Raw genomic sequence first — 14,292 nt, forward strand, 5'->3', positions numbered from 1 at the left:
GTCCATTTTTGTGGGCTCCAGCTCAGCTCCTTATTGTGGTTTCACGTTGCTCTTCCTCTTTTTTTTTTTTTTGGAGACAGAGTCTTGCTCCGTCACCCAGGCGGGAGTGCAGTGGTGCTATCTCTGCTCACTGCAACCTCCGCCTCCCAGGTTCAAGTGATTCTCCTGCCTCAGCCTCCTGAGTAGCTGGGATTACAGGCATCTGCCACCATGCCCGGCTAATTTTTACATTTTTAGTAGAGACGGGTTTCACCATCTTGGCCAGGCTGGTCTTGAACACCTGACCTCATGATACACCTGCCTCAGCCTCCCAAAGTGCTGGGATTAGGCGTGAGCCACTGTGCCTGGCCTGCTCTCTTTTAATATCCATCTTTCCTTTCTGATATATTAATAGTTTGTATACTTGTCCCACCCAAATCTGATGTTGCATTGTAATCCCCAGTGTTAGAGGTAGGGCCCGGTGGGAGGTGACTGAATCATGGGGGTAGAATTCTCATGAATGGTTTAGCACCATCCCCTTGGTGCTGTTCTCACAGTAGTGAGTTCTTGCAAAATCTAGTTAAAAGTGTGTGGCACCTCCCCCCATCCTCTTGCTCCTACTTTCACCATGCAACATGCAAGCTCCTGCTTCGTCTGCCATGACTGTAAGCTTCCCGAGGCCTCCCCAGAAGCCGATACTGCAGCTATGTTTCCTGTACAGCCTACAGAAGCGTGAACCATTTAAACGTCTTTTCTTTATAAATTACCCAGTCTCAGGTATTTCTTTACAGCAATGCAAGAACAGCCTAACACACTTCTCAACTGCCCACCCTATAGACGTCAACTTCCCTCAGACACAAAAACAGCTTTTCAGAGATGACTTAACCAGCTCCCACAATTGCTTAAGGTTAAATACCTCTGTCAACCTAAATAACAGAGAGAAGCTCTCTAAAAGATACTTATTTGGGAATAAAGCACTGCAGTGGAAATATGCATGCAGCAGTAAACTATGTTGGTATTCAGGGCGGTTAAAGGAAGACAAAGATTTTTAAAGGAAAAAATAAGGAGGATTACATAATTGTTTTTGAAATAATTATCCTGGGCTACAGAGAACAATAGCAAGGGTGATGCCAGTCCGAGAGTGTATAGGCAGTCGCTGGGCAGATGTCCTTGCAGGAGTATTTTTTATGTAAGGTTGTGACAGCCTTTGTGCTAAGTTGTAGTTTTTATTGCTTTTGGTGGTCGTTTCTGTTAGCAGGCATGTAAGCATGAGAATCCTCTTCATGTCTTTCCCTGGCTCTATTTGTCAAGGTTATCTTAACATAAGTGACTCCATTTCGATGCTGACAAATTACATACCTCTAACAAAACCCTGTATATATCTATTTCTATCTCTATTATCTCTGTCCCTACCATCTCTATCTCTATCTTCATCTCATCTCTATATTTCTTTTTCTATCTCTCATCTCTGTTTCTCTCGTCTATCATTTCTATATCTCTAACACCTGTATCTATATCTCTATTTCTATCTTCTATAAAATCTCCTAATGCTTCTGCTTCTGGTTGACCTTGACTGATACAGTTGCTATGGTCAAATGACTCCCAACCAAGTAAGAAGAAAGGTTTTGAGGAGGTGAAGCAAATGTCCATATTCTGGAGTCTCTGGAGAAGAGGAAGGGGCCTTGCTAGGTGGAGCAATGCTGACTCCACTTTCCTGAGCTTGGGCTGGACTTTCACTTCCTGGTTCACAGGCTGCTGGTAAGATTTGTCTCTCTCTTTTTTTTTTTTTTTTTTTTTTTTTTTTGAGACAAAGTCTCCCTCTGTTGCCAGGCTGGAGTGCAGTGGTGCCTTCCGTGACGTGAGGCTTCCGTGACGTCACAAGGGTGCGCCCTCCGTGACGTCACAAGGGCGCGCCTTCGCCGACACCATAGAGGTGGGCCTTTGGCGGCGTCAGAGGCGCGGGTGTTCGGCTACGTCACTGGGGCGCTACGGTTCCTGGAGCTGGGCAGTCTTCTCGTCAGAGTGGGGACTGGTAAGAGCGACCTCCCCGCCAGGTCCTGTGTGTTGCCGGCTGAAGAAGGGTAGGTGAAAAATTCAGACCCAGCACAGTGTTTATGTTGGTCAAAAATAGAAAACTATGTCTGGCGCGTTCGAGGCGGGAGGACCCTTCAGGCCAAGAGCAGCCTAGCAACATGGCGCAACCCCATCTCTGTAGTCCTACCTCAGCCCCCCAGCTACTTGAACCCAAAGGTTCAAGGCTCCAGTGAGCTATGATCCCACCACAGCATTCCAGCCTGCGAGATTGAGGTAAACCCTGTCTAAAAAAATTTAAAAACTATCTTAAGTGTGCAACAGGGAGGGACTGCTAAATAAAACATGAGGCTGGCTAGGCCCTACTGTAATCCCAGCACTTTGGGAGGCCGAGGCGGGAGGATGGATGGCTTGGGCTCAGGAGTTCGAGACCAGCCTGGGCAACATGACGAAACCCCGTCTCTACAAAAGATACAAAAATTAGCTGGGAGCGGTGTGCACCTGGCCTAATTTTTGTATTTTTTTCTAGAGATGGGGTGGGGGGGGGGGCCTCGCTATGTTGCCCAGGCCAGTTTCGAACTCCTGAGTTGAAGTGATCTTCTCACCTTGGCCATCAGAGTTGTCGGAATTACAGGCGTGAGGGACAGCGCCCCACCTGGGTTAGGCTACTTAATAACATAAGAAAGTGCTCCGCCAGGCTCAGTGGCTGACACCTGTAATCCCAACACTTTGCGAGGCCGAGGCAGGTGGATCACCTGAGGTCAGGAGTTGGAGACCAGCCTGGCCATGGTGAAACCCAGTCTCTACAAAAAATACAAAAATTAGCCGGCCGTGGTGGCGCATGCCTGTAGTCCCAGCTACTTGGGAGGCTGATAAAGGAGAATTACTTGAACCCGGGAGGCAGAGGTTGCATTGGGCCGAGATCGCACCACTGCACCCCAGCCTGGGCGACACAGCGAGACTCCAAAGTTTGACACCAGCCTGGGCAATGTAGTGACACCCTGTGTCTACAAAACAAACAAACAAAAACCCAGGCATAACTGTGTCCACCTGTGGCCCTAGCTAGTTAGGAGGCTGAGGCAGGAGGATCACTTGAGGCCAGGAGCTCAAGGCTGCAGTGAGCTATGATAATCCCACTGCTTCCCATCCTGAGCAATAGAGTGAAAGCATGTCTCTAGATAGCTAGCTAGCTAGCTAGCTAGATAATTGATACGTAGTTTTGTATCAAATTTTTTCCCTGGATTTGAGCATGTTTTTCTAAAGTAGCATTCAACACATCAGCATTTTACAGTGTTATTATTTGTTAATATGATTATGTTTTTCTGAAATACAGTGTCCTTTACAAAAGCAGTTTTGTCTTTCAAAGCACATAGATAAGGCCCTCAAGTGAATTTGTCTGATGTTGGCGACCTTGGTACCATTTTGTCCACTTGATTGGAAAAGCCAGTCAATAATCTCAGGTCACTGTTGGCCTTAGAAGAAGAGCCCAAAGGCAACAAGCAAAGGCGCTGGTGTCCAGTCGCCTTCTAGAAGCATTTTCACTTTCCCTTAAGGTTTCCCTTGATGAACATAGAAGTACTGTATGTAGAATTGACCCAGTGCTGCCTTGGCAACTTTGTATATTAGGCCAAATTTACATTTCTTACCTTTATGAGAGGCACCCTGGTAGGCTAGTGGAGTTACACACAAAGTCTGATCTCAGCTGCACTGTCCAGAGATGCAACACGGTCCAATCAAATAACATTCTCTGAGCCCGTTTCTTTAGCTGTGAAAGAAGAATAACATACCCATCTAAAAAGGCAGCTTATTGTATTTGATTGGTCTTTTATTTTCTATGAAACTGTGTTTAACACAGTAATTATTTTCATTTGTATACTACATTTGTGTTGTGTTTTTGGTTTTAGTTTTGTTTTTGAAATGGAGTCTTTTTTTAGTGGTTTTTTTGTTTTGTTTTGTTTTGTTTTTGAGATGGAGTCTTTCTATTGTCACCCAGGCTAGAGTGCAGTGGCATGATCTCCGCTCACTGCAACCTCCACCTCCCAGGTTCAAGTGATTCTCCTGCCTCAGCCTCCTGAGAAGCTGGGATTACAGGTGCCCACCACCACGCCCAGCTAATTTTTTAAATATATTTTTAGTAGAGATGGGGTTACAACATGTTGCCCAGGCTGGTCTCAAACTACTGACGTCAAGTGATCCACCCGCCTTGGCTTCCCAAAGTGCTGGGATTATAGGCATGAGCCACGGTGCCTGGCTTGTTTTAAAATAAGGGTTTCTTGGCTAGGCATGGTGGCTCACACCTGTAATCCCAGCACTTTGGGAGGCCAAGGTCAGTGGATCACCTGAGGTCAGGAGTTCGAGACCAGCCTGACCAATATGGAGAAACCCTGCCTCAACTGAAAATACAAAATTAGCCAGGCGTGGTGGTGCATGCCTGTAATCCCAGCTACTCAGGAGGCTGAGGAAGGAGAATTGCTTGAACCCACGGGGCGGAGGTTGCAGTGAGCTGAGATCGCACCATTGCACTCCAGCCTGGGCAACGAGCAAAACTCTGTCTCAAAATAAAAAAAAGATTTCTTAAAATGATATTTTCAGTATTTTATAGATGATGTGTAAGCAGCAATCTTAATAGGATGTTACCAGACACTTTGCGAGACTGGCAGCTGATTTGATCCAGATGTCTCTAATTCTTTTTTCTTTTTCTTTTTCTGTTTTTTTTGACAGAGCCTTGCTCCGTCCCCCATGCTGGAGTGCAGTGGCATGATCTTGGCTCACTGCAACCTCCACCTCCCGGGTTCAAGTGATTCTCCTGCCTCAGGCTCCCGAGTAGCTGGGATTACAGGTGCGCGCCACCATGCCCAGCTAATTTTTTGTATTTTTGGTAGAGACAGCGTTTCACCATGTTTCATAAATAACATAGCCCTCTTTCTTTCCTTCTCTCTCTCTCTCTTTTTTTTTTTTGAGACAGGGTCTTGCTCTGCTACCCAGGCTGGAGTGCAATGGTGCAGTCTCGGCTCACCGCAACTTCAGCCTCCTGGGTTCAAGCGATTCTCCTGCCTCAGCCTCCCAAGTAGCTGGGATTACAGGCATGCGCCACCACGCCTGGCTAATTTTTTCTTTTCTTTTTTTTTTTGAGACGGAGTTTCGCTGTTGTTGCCCAGGCTGGAGTGCAATGGCACAATCTCGGCTCACCACAATCTTTGCCTTTCGGGTTCAAGGGATTCTCCTGCCTCAGCCTCCCGAGTAGCTGGGATTATTGGCATGTGCCACCACACCCGGCTAATGTTGTAGTTTTAGTAGAGACGGGGTTTCTCTATGTTGGTTAGGCTGGTCTCAAACTCCTGACCTCAGGTGATCTACCCGCCTCGGCCTCTCAAAGTGCTGGGATCACAGGCATGAGCCATCACTCCTGGCCTAATTTTTGTATTTTTAGTAGAGAGAGGGTTTCACTCTGTTGGCCAGGCTGGTCTCGAATTCCTGACCTCAAGTTATCTGCCTGCCTCGGCCTCCCAAACTGTTGGAATTACAGGCATGAACCACCATGCCTGGCCAGCTCTGTTTCTTTAAGCCTACATGTTTTGCACTTGTTAAAAGTATTTGAACGTACAATTACTCAGCTTCCCTTGTTTACGCGTGAATTTTGTATAATCTTAAATATTTTTTCCAATCTAAGCTTTATTTTATCCCGTTTCTTATATATTTGTATAACTTTAGGCGGCTATCTTCATTGAAAGTTTTTTCTCAAAAGCCTTAAGATAGAACATAGTTCTTGGCAGCAATTTGAAAGTTATTTGAGGAGAAGGGGAGACTTACAATGATGATTCAAATGAAGGAAACTAAAAAGTAATGAAGCAAGGCAGAGGAAAAAGCAGTATTCACTTGAGCACATCCCAAAAGAATAACATTTCAAATGTAACTAGAAAAAAGTATGCTGAAGTTCGCAATACAGAAATAATTATTAATAAGATAGCTTTAAAGCCCTGCTCAGCTTGTGAATGTTGGGAATTGACCCAGAGGTGGCTGTAACCTAAGATGGTTCCTTCAGTAATGACCATTTTTTCTTTTTCAGGATGATGATTATTCCCCACCTTCTAAGAGACAAAGACCAACGAGCCACCACAGCCACCAGTCCCAGAACCCGCCAATGCTGGGGAATGGAAAATGAGGGAGTTCAACTCTGGTAAGGTCTCAGCAAAATCCATGACCTTTTCCTTTATCTTCTGGACTCTCAATGTGACTGATGAAAGTTACCACATGCTCTGCAGGGGGAAGTGGTTTAGCATGTATTACTACATCTTAATCACATCTTTGTAAAGCCAGGAGCATTTTACAAGTCACGTTACAGACATTGTTTAAACATAGTCTGTATTTACCAAAGTATAGGACATTGTATCATCTCATATTAATTAGTTAGTTGGCTCAAAATTAGTGCTAATGACTTAGTAATTCAGTGATTTCTGTTAGCTTTAAAACCTTTATTTCAGAACTATTTCACCTCTTGGTTTTCATTTTTGCTGTGTGTCACTGCCTGCCGGCTGCTAATTTATTAACTCCCAGTGAATCATGTGTCCTGTGAAGGGACTGAATATTAGTGGCAATTTATGTTGATGATTTGTATTTTGAATAAATAGTTTGAATACATAGAACATTAAGCTTGTATACATTTTGAAAATAGTATTTTAATATTCTACTGTGTCATAGTTACAATGATTGGATATATATTGAATTTATATGTACTTTAAGTTGTTATATGTTTATGGTCTTTAGCATTCTAACGTGCAATTGTATATCTGTTAAGTCTTTTTTTTTTTTTTCAAGATTAGACTCTGATTTATTGAGGCATCTGTTTGATGCCACATTAAGTGGCCCAGGCTTTGTGTAGGGATTGAGGTTAAAGCAGGAAGAAGGGTGGTGAGAGGCGGGGTACCAGGATTAGGTTGGAATACCTGGGGGTGCTCTGAGGCTCCCCAAGTTTCCCTGGTCTTGGCCGGCTGTGCTGCTGGCCTGGGCATCTGATGGGCCTGCAAGGGTGGTCCAGGGGCTAGGGCAGGGACTTTGGAGTCACGCCGTTGGCTTTGAATCCAGACTCCTACACTTGGTAGCTGTGAACTCTCCATGCCTCAGGGACCTGCAGAACTGAGCTCTGTCTGAGCCAGGTTCCATCCAGGCACTGCGGATCCATCCAGAGGGGCACTGCCTCAGGTTGCTCGCTATTCACTGCCTTCTCAAGCAGACCCTTGTCTCCTTCTAGGCCCTCACAATCCAGTGGAGGAGACGAAACTCATCTGCCTCTGTCCCTCTGGGCACACCTCATGCCAGGTGCATCTGTGGACAGGGGCCATGCTCCTGGGCTTCCAAAGTTGGAGAAAGCTGCCAGGCTCAGGTGGGTACATCACAGCAGCTGCTGCCCTCTGAACACTGTGACAAAAGAACACTCTGGGCCTGGAGCCCTGGTCTGGGGCATTGGGCAAGGCTGTTGCACTTCTCTGATCCCATTTCCCCATCTGGAAAGTGCGCTGATTGTATCTCCCTGTGGGCACTAAGGGCTCAGTGTTAGCTTGAGAGCCAGCATCTGGGGTTTGGGCTGTAATTCCCCGTCAGCCCCATAGCTGCGGGGAACCAGGGACTTTGTTGGGATTACCCTAGGCATCAGTTTAGCTTCCTGCCCCTGGCTTGGGCTCAGCACCTGAAGTAGTCTAGGGGGTAGGTGGTCCTGGTGGGGGCTGGGGCTTTTACCCAGACTGAGGTCACACCCAGAGCCAGAAGTCTTGGTGCCTGCTCTGGGCAAAGGTGCCAGCCTGTGCGACAAGAGCGAAACTCTGTCTCCAAAACAAAAACAAAAAACCTTGCATCATTTCAAGGGGCTCACACCTCCCTAAGGGCCTGGTAATTGCGTGGCTCTGGCCTGCATCTGGCCCCGAGGGTGTAGGTAACACTTCACCTTACCTGGTTTCTTCCTGCCAGGGCCAATCTTCAGACCTCAGGACTTTGCAGCCTATCCCACCTCCCCTCTGGCCAGCCTTGAGCCCTTGTGGGTCCAGCACTTTTTCCAGGCTGTCTCCTGGTTGTCCTTCTACCTCGAGGCCTGGCTCATGCTGCTCCCCCTCCCACTCTCCAAGACCCACAAGGACCACTCCACACCCAGCTCAGCCCCATCCCCTCAGATAGTCCTTTCTCTTTCCTCAGGTGGCCAGGTGCATATCTTGGTGTGAGGACCTTCACTGTATCTGGGAATGCCTACTGGTCACCTCGGTGACAGAGACCAAGGCATTTACCTGATATGAATGTCTTGGTTCACTGTCTACATGGCTAGGGAGGGAGTCAATAATAGGCTTTTCACTTGCTGCAAGGGCCAGTTCTCCTGGCCCCATGGCTCTAGGGATGGAGGATGCCGCAGGAGATGCACCGCTCACTTCCCAGCTGAGGACTGTGGGTCATCTCAGGGCGATTTCACAGTCCCCACATGCCCCACCCCCTCAGCTCTGCAAATACCAAGCAGTGCAGCCTGTCTAGGGGATGATGGGCTCGAGAGTGCCCAGGTAGTGCCCAGAGTGCCCTTGGCAGGCCCCTCACCTAGCTGCTTCCACAGCTCTGTAGCAAGAGTTCTAACCTTTTTTGACCGTGAAGCCTGTTGTGGACTGTTTTCCCAGAAAGGCATGTACATGCTCTCCACACAAAACCTTTCATCGTGGCCAAGCACAGTGGCTCATGTAATCCCAGAACTTTGGGAGGCAGAGCCAGTGGGATCACCTGAGGTCAGGAGTTCAAGACCAGCCTGCCCAACATGGCGAAACCCTGTCTCTACTAAAAATACAAAAAATTAGCCAGGCGTGGTGGCAGCCACCTGTAATCCCAGCTACTCCGGAGGCTGAGGCAGGAGAATCACTTGAACCTGGGAGGCGCAGGTTGTAGTGTGGTGAGATCACGCCACTGCACTCCAGCCTGGGCGACAGGAGCGAAACTCTGTCTCAAAAAACAAAACAAAACAAAACCTTGCATCCTTTCAGGGGGCTCACACCTCCCTAAGGGCCCAGTAATTAAACCCTTTGGGCCTGAGGGTGAGAAACTTTGTCTCAGTTCTTCCCCGAGTGATCAGCCCAGGGGTAAGGAAGGAGAAGCCAGAAAGCAGGACCCATGAGAAGGGCCCCCTCCTCGAGTTTGAGGCCCACTCCCTCCTGCCCCTGCCTCTCCTCTGTCCAGGACTCCTCCCTGCTCTGCCCCACTCCTGGGGCCATAACCATGGGGAGCTGTGGTTTTCTACAGGCCCCTGGGCACAAAATGGGCAGGCTCACCTGGAGGCGATCAGAGTAACATGGCAGGAAGTGAGGGGGAAAGCCGCCCTGGAACTGCGCCTCTCTGCCCCCTGACGTCACTGGCGTGCACTCCTCCCTCCCCTCACTCAGGCCGTGGCATGAGTTCCATGTGAGCGCTGTCCTCCTCCCTCTGCTGCCTCTTTTTTTTCTTGGGGCTGCCATAACACTTTCCCTTCCCCAGCCCTGCCAACCTGGTGGGACATTGGGCTTCCTTCTCACACGGTCCTGGGGACAGGCCCATCCTTTATCATACCCACAGAGAGACCCTTTTTTTCTTCAGGACATGGGGAGCAGCCAGGTTCCATGAGTTAAATGCAGATCTGAACCAAGCTGGGATTGGGGTACACACTCTCCTCTACTGAAAAGTAGCTAGGGATTCCAACTAGGTGAGAAGGAGAGTGGGGCAGAGCCAGACCAGACAAGGACTGATCACCTGGAAAAAGCCTGCCATCAAAGGTCTTGGCAAATGCTGGGTGCAGTGGCTCACTCCTGTAATCCCAGCACTTTGCGGGGCTGAGACAGGTGGACTACTGGAGGCAAGGAGTTCGAGTCCAGCCTGGGCAACATGGCAAAACCCCATCTCTACTAGAAATACAAAAATTAGCTAGGCATGCTACACTTCTGTAATCCCAGCTACTCAGGAGACTGAGGCAGGAGAATCACTTGAACTGGGGAGGCAGAGGTCGAAGTGAGCCGAGATTGTGCACCTGCACTCCAGTCTGGGAGACAGAGTGAAACTGGCCTCAAAAAAAAAAAAGAATATGGCCTTGGCAGAGAGGGGCCAGCCCAGCAGTGCCTTCCCTTGGGTTTCTCCTGGGTAGGCCTCTGCCATGAGGAGGTGCTTCCTTCTGCCTGTCCATGGCCCACAGCAATGGAATGTCTGCTTCTGGGGGTTGGGTGGGAGACTGCTGGCAGAACTGGAAACCTTCAGGTGGGGTTTTTTTGTTTTGTTTTGTTTTCGAGATGGAGTGTCGCTCTGTCACCCAGGCTGGAGTGCAGTGGTGGAATCTCAGTTCACTGCAACCTCCGCCCCCCTGGGTTCAAACAATTCTCCTGTCTCAGCCTCCTGAGTAGCTGAGATTACAGGCATGTGCCACCATGCCCGGCTAGTTTTTGTATTTTTTGTATAGATGGCATTTCACCATGTTGGCCGGGCTGGTCTCGAACTCCTGACCTCAAGTGATCCACCCGCCTCGGCCTCCCAAAGTGCTGGGATTACAGGCATGAGCCACTGCGCCCAGCCTGGCCCTGCTTCTTTCTCTTTTTCTTTTTTTTTCATTAGCAGCTTAAAATTGGTGCCTTATTCAGACACAAGCAAAAGGACATTAGCCCAGCTTTGGAAATAGGTGTGAGCCCATCTATGATTTTCCTAGTTTCTCCTCCCCCTTTGCTTTTTGCTCTCTTGTTAGTATATTAATTGTTTTCACTCTCTGAATCTTTTTTCCCCATTTCTTTGGCAGACATTTTTACTTGTCTTGGAAGAGTAGGTGAAGAGCTGTTTTTAGGACTCTTTGAAAGGGTACAGTATGGGTGACAGTCTTGGCTAATGGTAACATCCAGGGAGCTGGGGTCAGCGTGAGCTGGAATCAGTTCAAATTAGCAAAGCACTGGCACTCAGTGGCAGGAATACAAGTGACTGCAAAGTGTTAAACACATCTGGAAAGGGCTGCTGACATCATCCTCAGAATCTGTGGGGAGTTCACATAGCCAGTTAAGACCCATTCCTCTTTGAACCTATAAAGATTCTTTAAAGAATAATACCCTTAGTGTCTTTCTAGCCAGCTTTCCTGCTCATTTATCTTTGAGGACGACATGCCTTGTGGAGCTCCACAGGCCCCAGAGGGGTATGGATTCTGCATTTGAAAGTGCTGAAGCTGAGAGACTGGGTCTTGGTGGACCCCAAGAGGTCTGTTTCTCCTCTACTTATTGTTCCTTTTTTTCCCAGCAGCTGGCATTGCTGTTTAAATGGGTTGTTCTTTGCTGTTTTAAGTTGTTTCCTAGTGGTGTGTCAGGATTTGGGTTTTCTGAATACTTTCCAAGCTGGTGACTTGAGTGGTGGTTAGGGAGGAACTGTTTTAGGGCTGTTCTGGAGCTATTGAGGTCAGGTGTCTAGATACTCCCAGCTTGTCTGTTGAGGAGAATGCTGTCCTCATTGTGCTGCCTTTGGTGGTGCTGTGTGTGGCTCTTTAGATGTGAGTGGAGGTGAGCTGGGGGAGTTAATGAGATCTTTTTTAGGTGCTTTTGATAAAGTAGCCTGCACTACAGGATTCACTGTGACTTTTTTCCTTAACCTATGCATTTCTCTCTGCTAGCTTTTGCTGTCTTTCTCATGCCTTTTATTTTCCCAGCTCCTCTTAGTTGAATTAACCTAAGTGCTCTGCTGTGGTTTAAATGTGTCCCCCAAAGTTTATGTGCTGGAAACTCAATCCTCAATGCAACAGTTGGGATGTGGGGCCTAATAAAATAGCCTTCATGAATGAGTTAATGTTGTTATTGTGGTAATAGATTAGTAATCACAGAGTGGGCTTATTATAAAACAGAGTTCAGCCCCTTTTGCCCTCTTGCTTTCTTGCACTCTCTTTTCCTTCTGCCTTCTGTAGTGGGATGATGCAGCAAGAAGACCCTTACCGGATGCAGGCCCCTCAACCTTGGACTTCCTAACATCCAGAACTGTTAAGAAATAAAATTTATTCCTTTCCTTTCCTTTTCTTCCTTCTTTCCCTTCTCCTCCCTTTTCTTCCCTTCCCCTCCCTCCCTCTCTCTCTCCCTCCCTCCCTCCTTCCCTCCCTTCCTCCTTCCCTCTTTCTCTCTTTCCCTTCCTTCCTTTCCTTCTTTTCCTTCCTTCCTTTCCTTCCCTCCTTCCCTTTTTCCCTCCTTTCCTCCTTCCTTCCTTTTTTCTTTCCTTCCTTTTTTCCTTTTTATAAATTATGCAGTCTGTGTTATTCTTTTATAGAAGCATGAAATGGACAAAGACTCCGTTTTCAAGAGCAAGCACTTTTGTAGTTTCTGAGCAAATTATGACTGCAAAGGAAGTTCTATAGGTAGCCTCAGATCCACTACCTAGGAAGCATGCTACCAAGCAGACCTAGGATCTAGGATTTGATCAAGTGCTGGGCAACATGATACCTCTGCAATTTAGCACCTCCCTATATACCTCCAGTTGGCTCAGCCCATCAGGGCTAAAACTACCCCTCATATCCTAGTGTCTCTTGTAGGCAGAAGCCTTGCCTAAACCCTAAGCTGCTTGGCTCACATTCTGTCTTGTGCTTTTTTTGTAGGGGTTTCAAATATACACAAAAGAAATATGTTGAACCTCCAGGCACCCAACCCGCAGATTAAGCAGTTACCTCCATTTTTCCAGATTTGTTTCATCTGCTTCAATCTCCCTAAAAATTTATGTTTGTACAGGAAAGACTGAATAAATAGCTAATTCTCCGCCCTACCTCTCATCTTAAGTCACTTTTCAGAGTAGTAAGTTAGTGACCTAGTAACCTTCCCTCTAATGACCAGTAGTTTTTTTTCTGAATACCATTATGAACTCATAGATTATTGTTTGCATTTGATGTATTTCAGGCCATTGCAGTCTTTATTGTTTTGGATGCTTACATTGTCTCATCTAGGTTAATAATTATCTCTTCAAGTTGACTTTCATGTCTTTTTGACGTGATCCTGTTGGACTTTGATGGCTTCCTTGCTTTCTGGCAAAAAAGATGTTCCAGGATCAATATACTGCACCATACATGGAGTCAGCCATTTCTCTAGGGAACCTTGATTCCTTTTAGTAGAGAACACAGTTTGAGGTCTTGGACTGAATGACTTTTGTGAACCTCCTCTCCTGAGACTACAGCCTGCATCCCTGCATATAACCGTTTGGAGCTCTTGCTGGGCACCAACAGATCTCCTAAAACTGCTATATAGTTCTGCCTCACTCTTACAAAGATTCATCTCTTGAGAGTTTTGTGCTCTACCCCCAGATGTGGTCTTTCTGGTTCTGAAGCTTTTGCTTCAGTCACCCTGAATTTTGCCAGCCCTATGCATGCTATACCTTGGATTGCCAACTTGCCCTCACTGAAGCCAGTTTCTCTGGTTAGAATAGTTGCCCCAACCCATGCCTAATACTCTAGTAAACAAGGTTCTACCTGGGCTTAGGTTAACTTTTGCTCCTTTGGGCCCTGTGTTCTACCAGCATTCCATTTATCTGAAACTCTCCCTCACCTTAAGAACTTATCTGTTCTTTAATGATTTACTGCTGCTTCCTGGGTTCGAAAGAACCCAGTTCAGGAGTTTCTGTTTTAGTTTGAGATCTTATAGGCCTGTCTCATCAGGTTGGTGTCAGCCCAGCTAGGATTAGGCAGAATTGGGTGGGGGCTGTAGTGCATCTTTGGCACAGCATGTACCTGTCTGACTAATTCTCTGTCTTTTCTTTCCTGTTGCAATTCATGGGTCTTAGCATCTTCTGAATGGTGTTTAGTAGGTCATCCTGTTGATTTCCTGCTAGGGAGTAGCATACTCTGGCTCTGTACCATTGGCCAAGGGACTTAAGGATAGGTGAAGGGCTGCAGTTTTGTTAAATGGAACAATATGAAGAGATGGCATTGTAAAAAAAAAAAAAAAAAAGGCTTGGCAGCAGGGCCCATTTGAATGGTTGGTCCTTGGCTCCTTTGTTGATATAGGCAGATCCTTGATGGGAATTTGGAATGATCCCAAATATTGTAGATCACTGGTACATCAAGTCATCCTCAAGGTTGTCTGTGTAACAGTCTTGAATGATATTTTGTCAGTCTTTGGAGATTCTCTGTATAGGGTTTAATCATTTAGTTATTTCAGTTGAGCCTGTTTAGTTTCTTTGCAAGGAGATAAGAAATGTGAAAGAGATGCAGATATTAGGGAAAAGAAGTCAGGAGCCTTGTTTCCCCACCCTCTACTTGGGTTCTGGAACTAGACTCATAGGTGAGTAGTGAGGAGCTGGGCC

General features: G+C 47.0%; 1 pseudogene across 1 annotated transcript in view, besides 2 other annotated features; it reads left to right on the plus strand.

Annotated features, from left to right (window-relative positions):
* Nucleotides 1,750-2,029: an enhancer, noted in NCBI's record as "active region_21847". NCBI's record gives its function as "activates an Ori minimal core promoter by ATAC-STARR-seq in GM12878 lymphoblastoid cells {active_cell/tissue: GM12878}" and the evidence as "EXISTENCE:reporter gene assay evidence [ECO:0000049][PMID:35858748]".
* The window catches only part of LOC729218 (uncharacterized), a 43,282-nt pseudogene continuing 30,898 nt past the window's right edge, over nt 1,909-14,292 (plus strand). The window contains exons 1-3 of the transcript NR_109983.1: nt 1,909-2,060; nt 6,077-6,187; nt 7,259-7,390. The product of NR_109983.1 is annotated as an uncharacterized LOC729218, transcript variant 1 (transcript). The remainder of the gene's footprint in view (nt 2,061-6,076; nt 6,188-7,258; nt 7,391-14,292) is intronic.
* Nucleotides 2,537-3,444: an enhancer, noted in NCBI's record as "H3K27ac-H3K4me1 hESC enhancer chr4:119513527-119514434 (GRCh37/hg19 assembly coordinates)". NCBI's record gives its function as "activates a minimal SCP1, AML or CMV promoter by ChIP-STARR-seq in primed H9 embryonic stem cells {active_cell/tissue: H9 hESC(primed)}" and the evidence as "EXISTENCE:reporter gene assay evidence [ECO:0000049][PMID:30033119]".

Source organism: Homo sapiens, chromosome 4 (assembly GCF_000001405.40).
Source record: "Homo sapiens chromosome 4, GRCh38.p14 Primary Assembly".
NCBI classification, from domain to species: domain Eukaryota; kingdom Metazoa; phylum Chordata; class Mammalia; order Primates; family Hominidae; genus Homo; species Homo sapiens.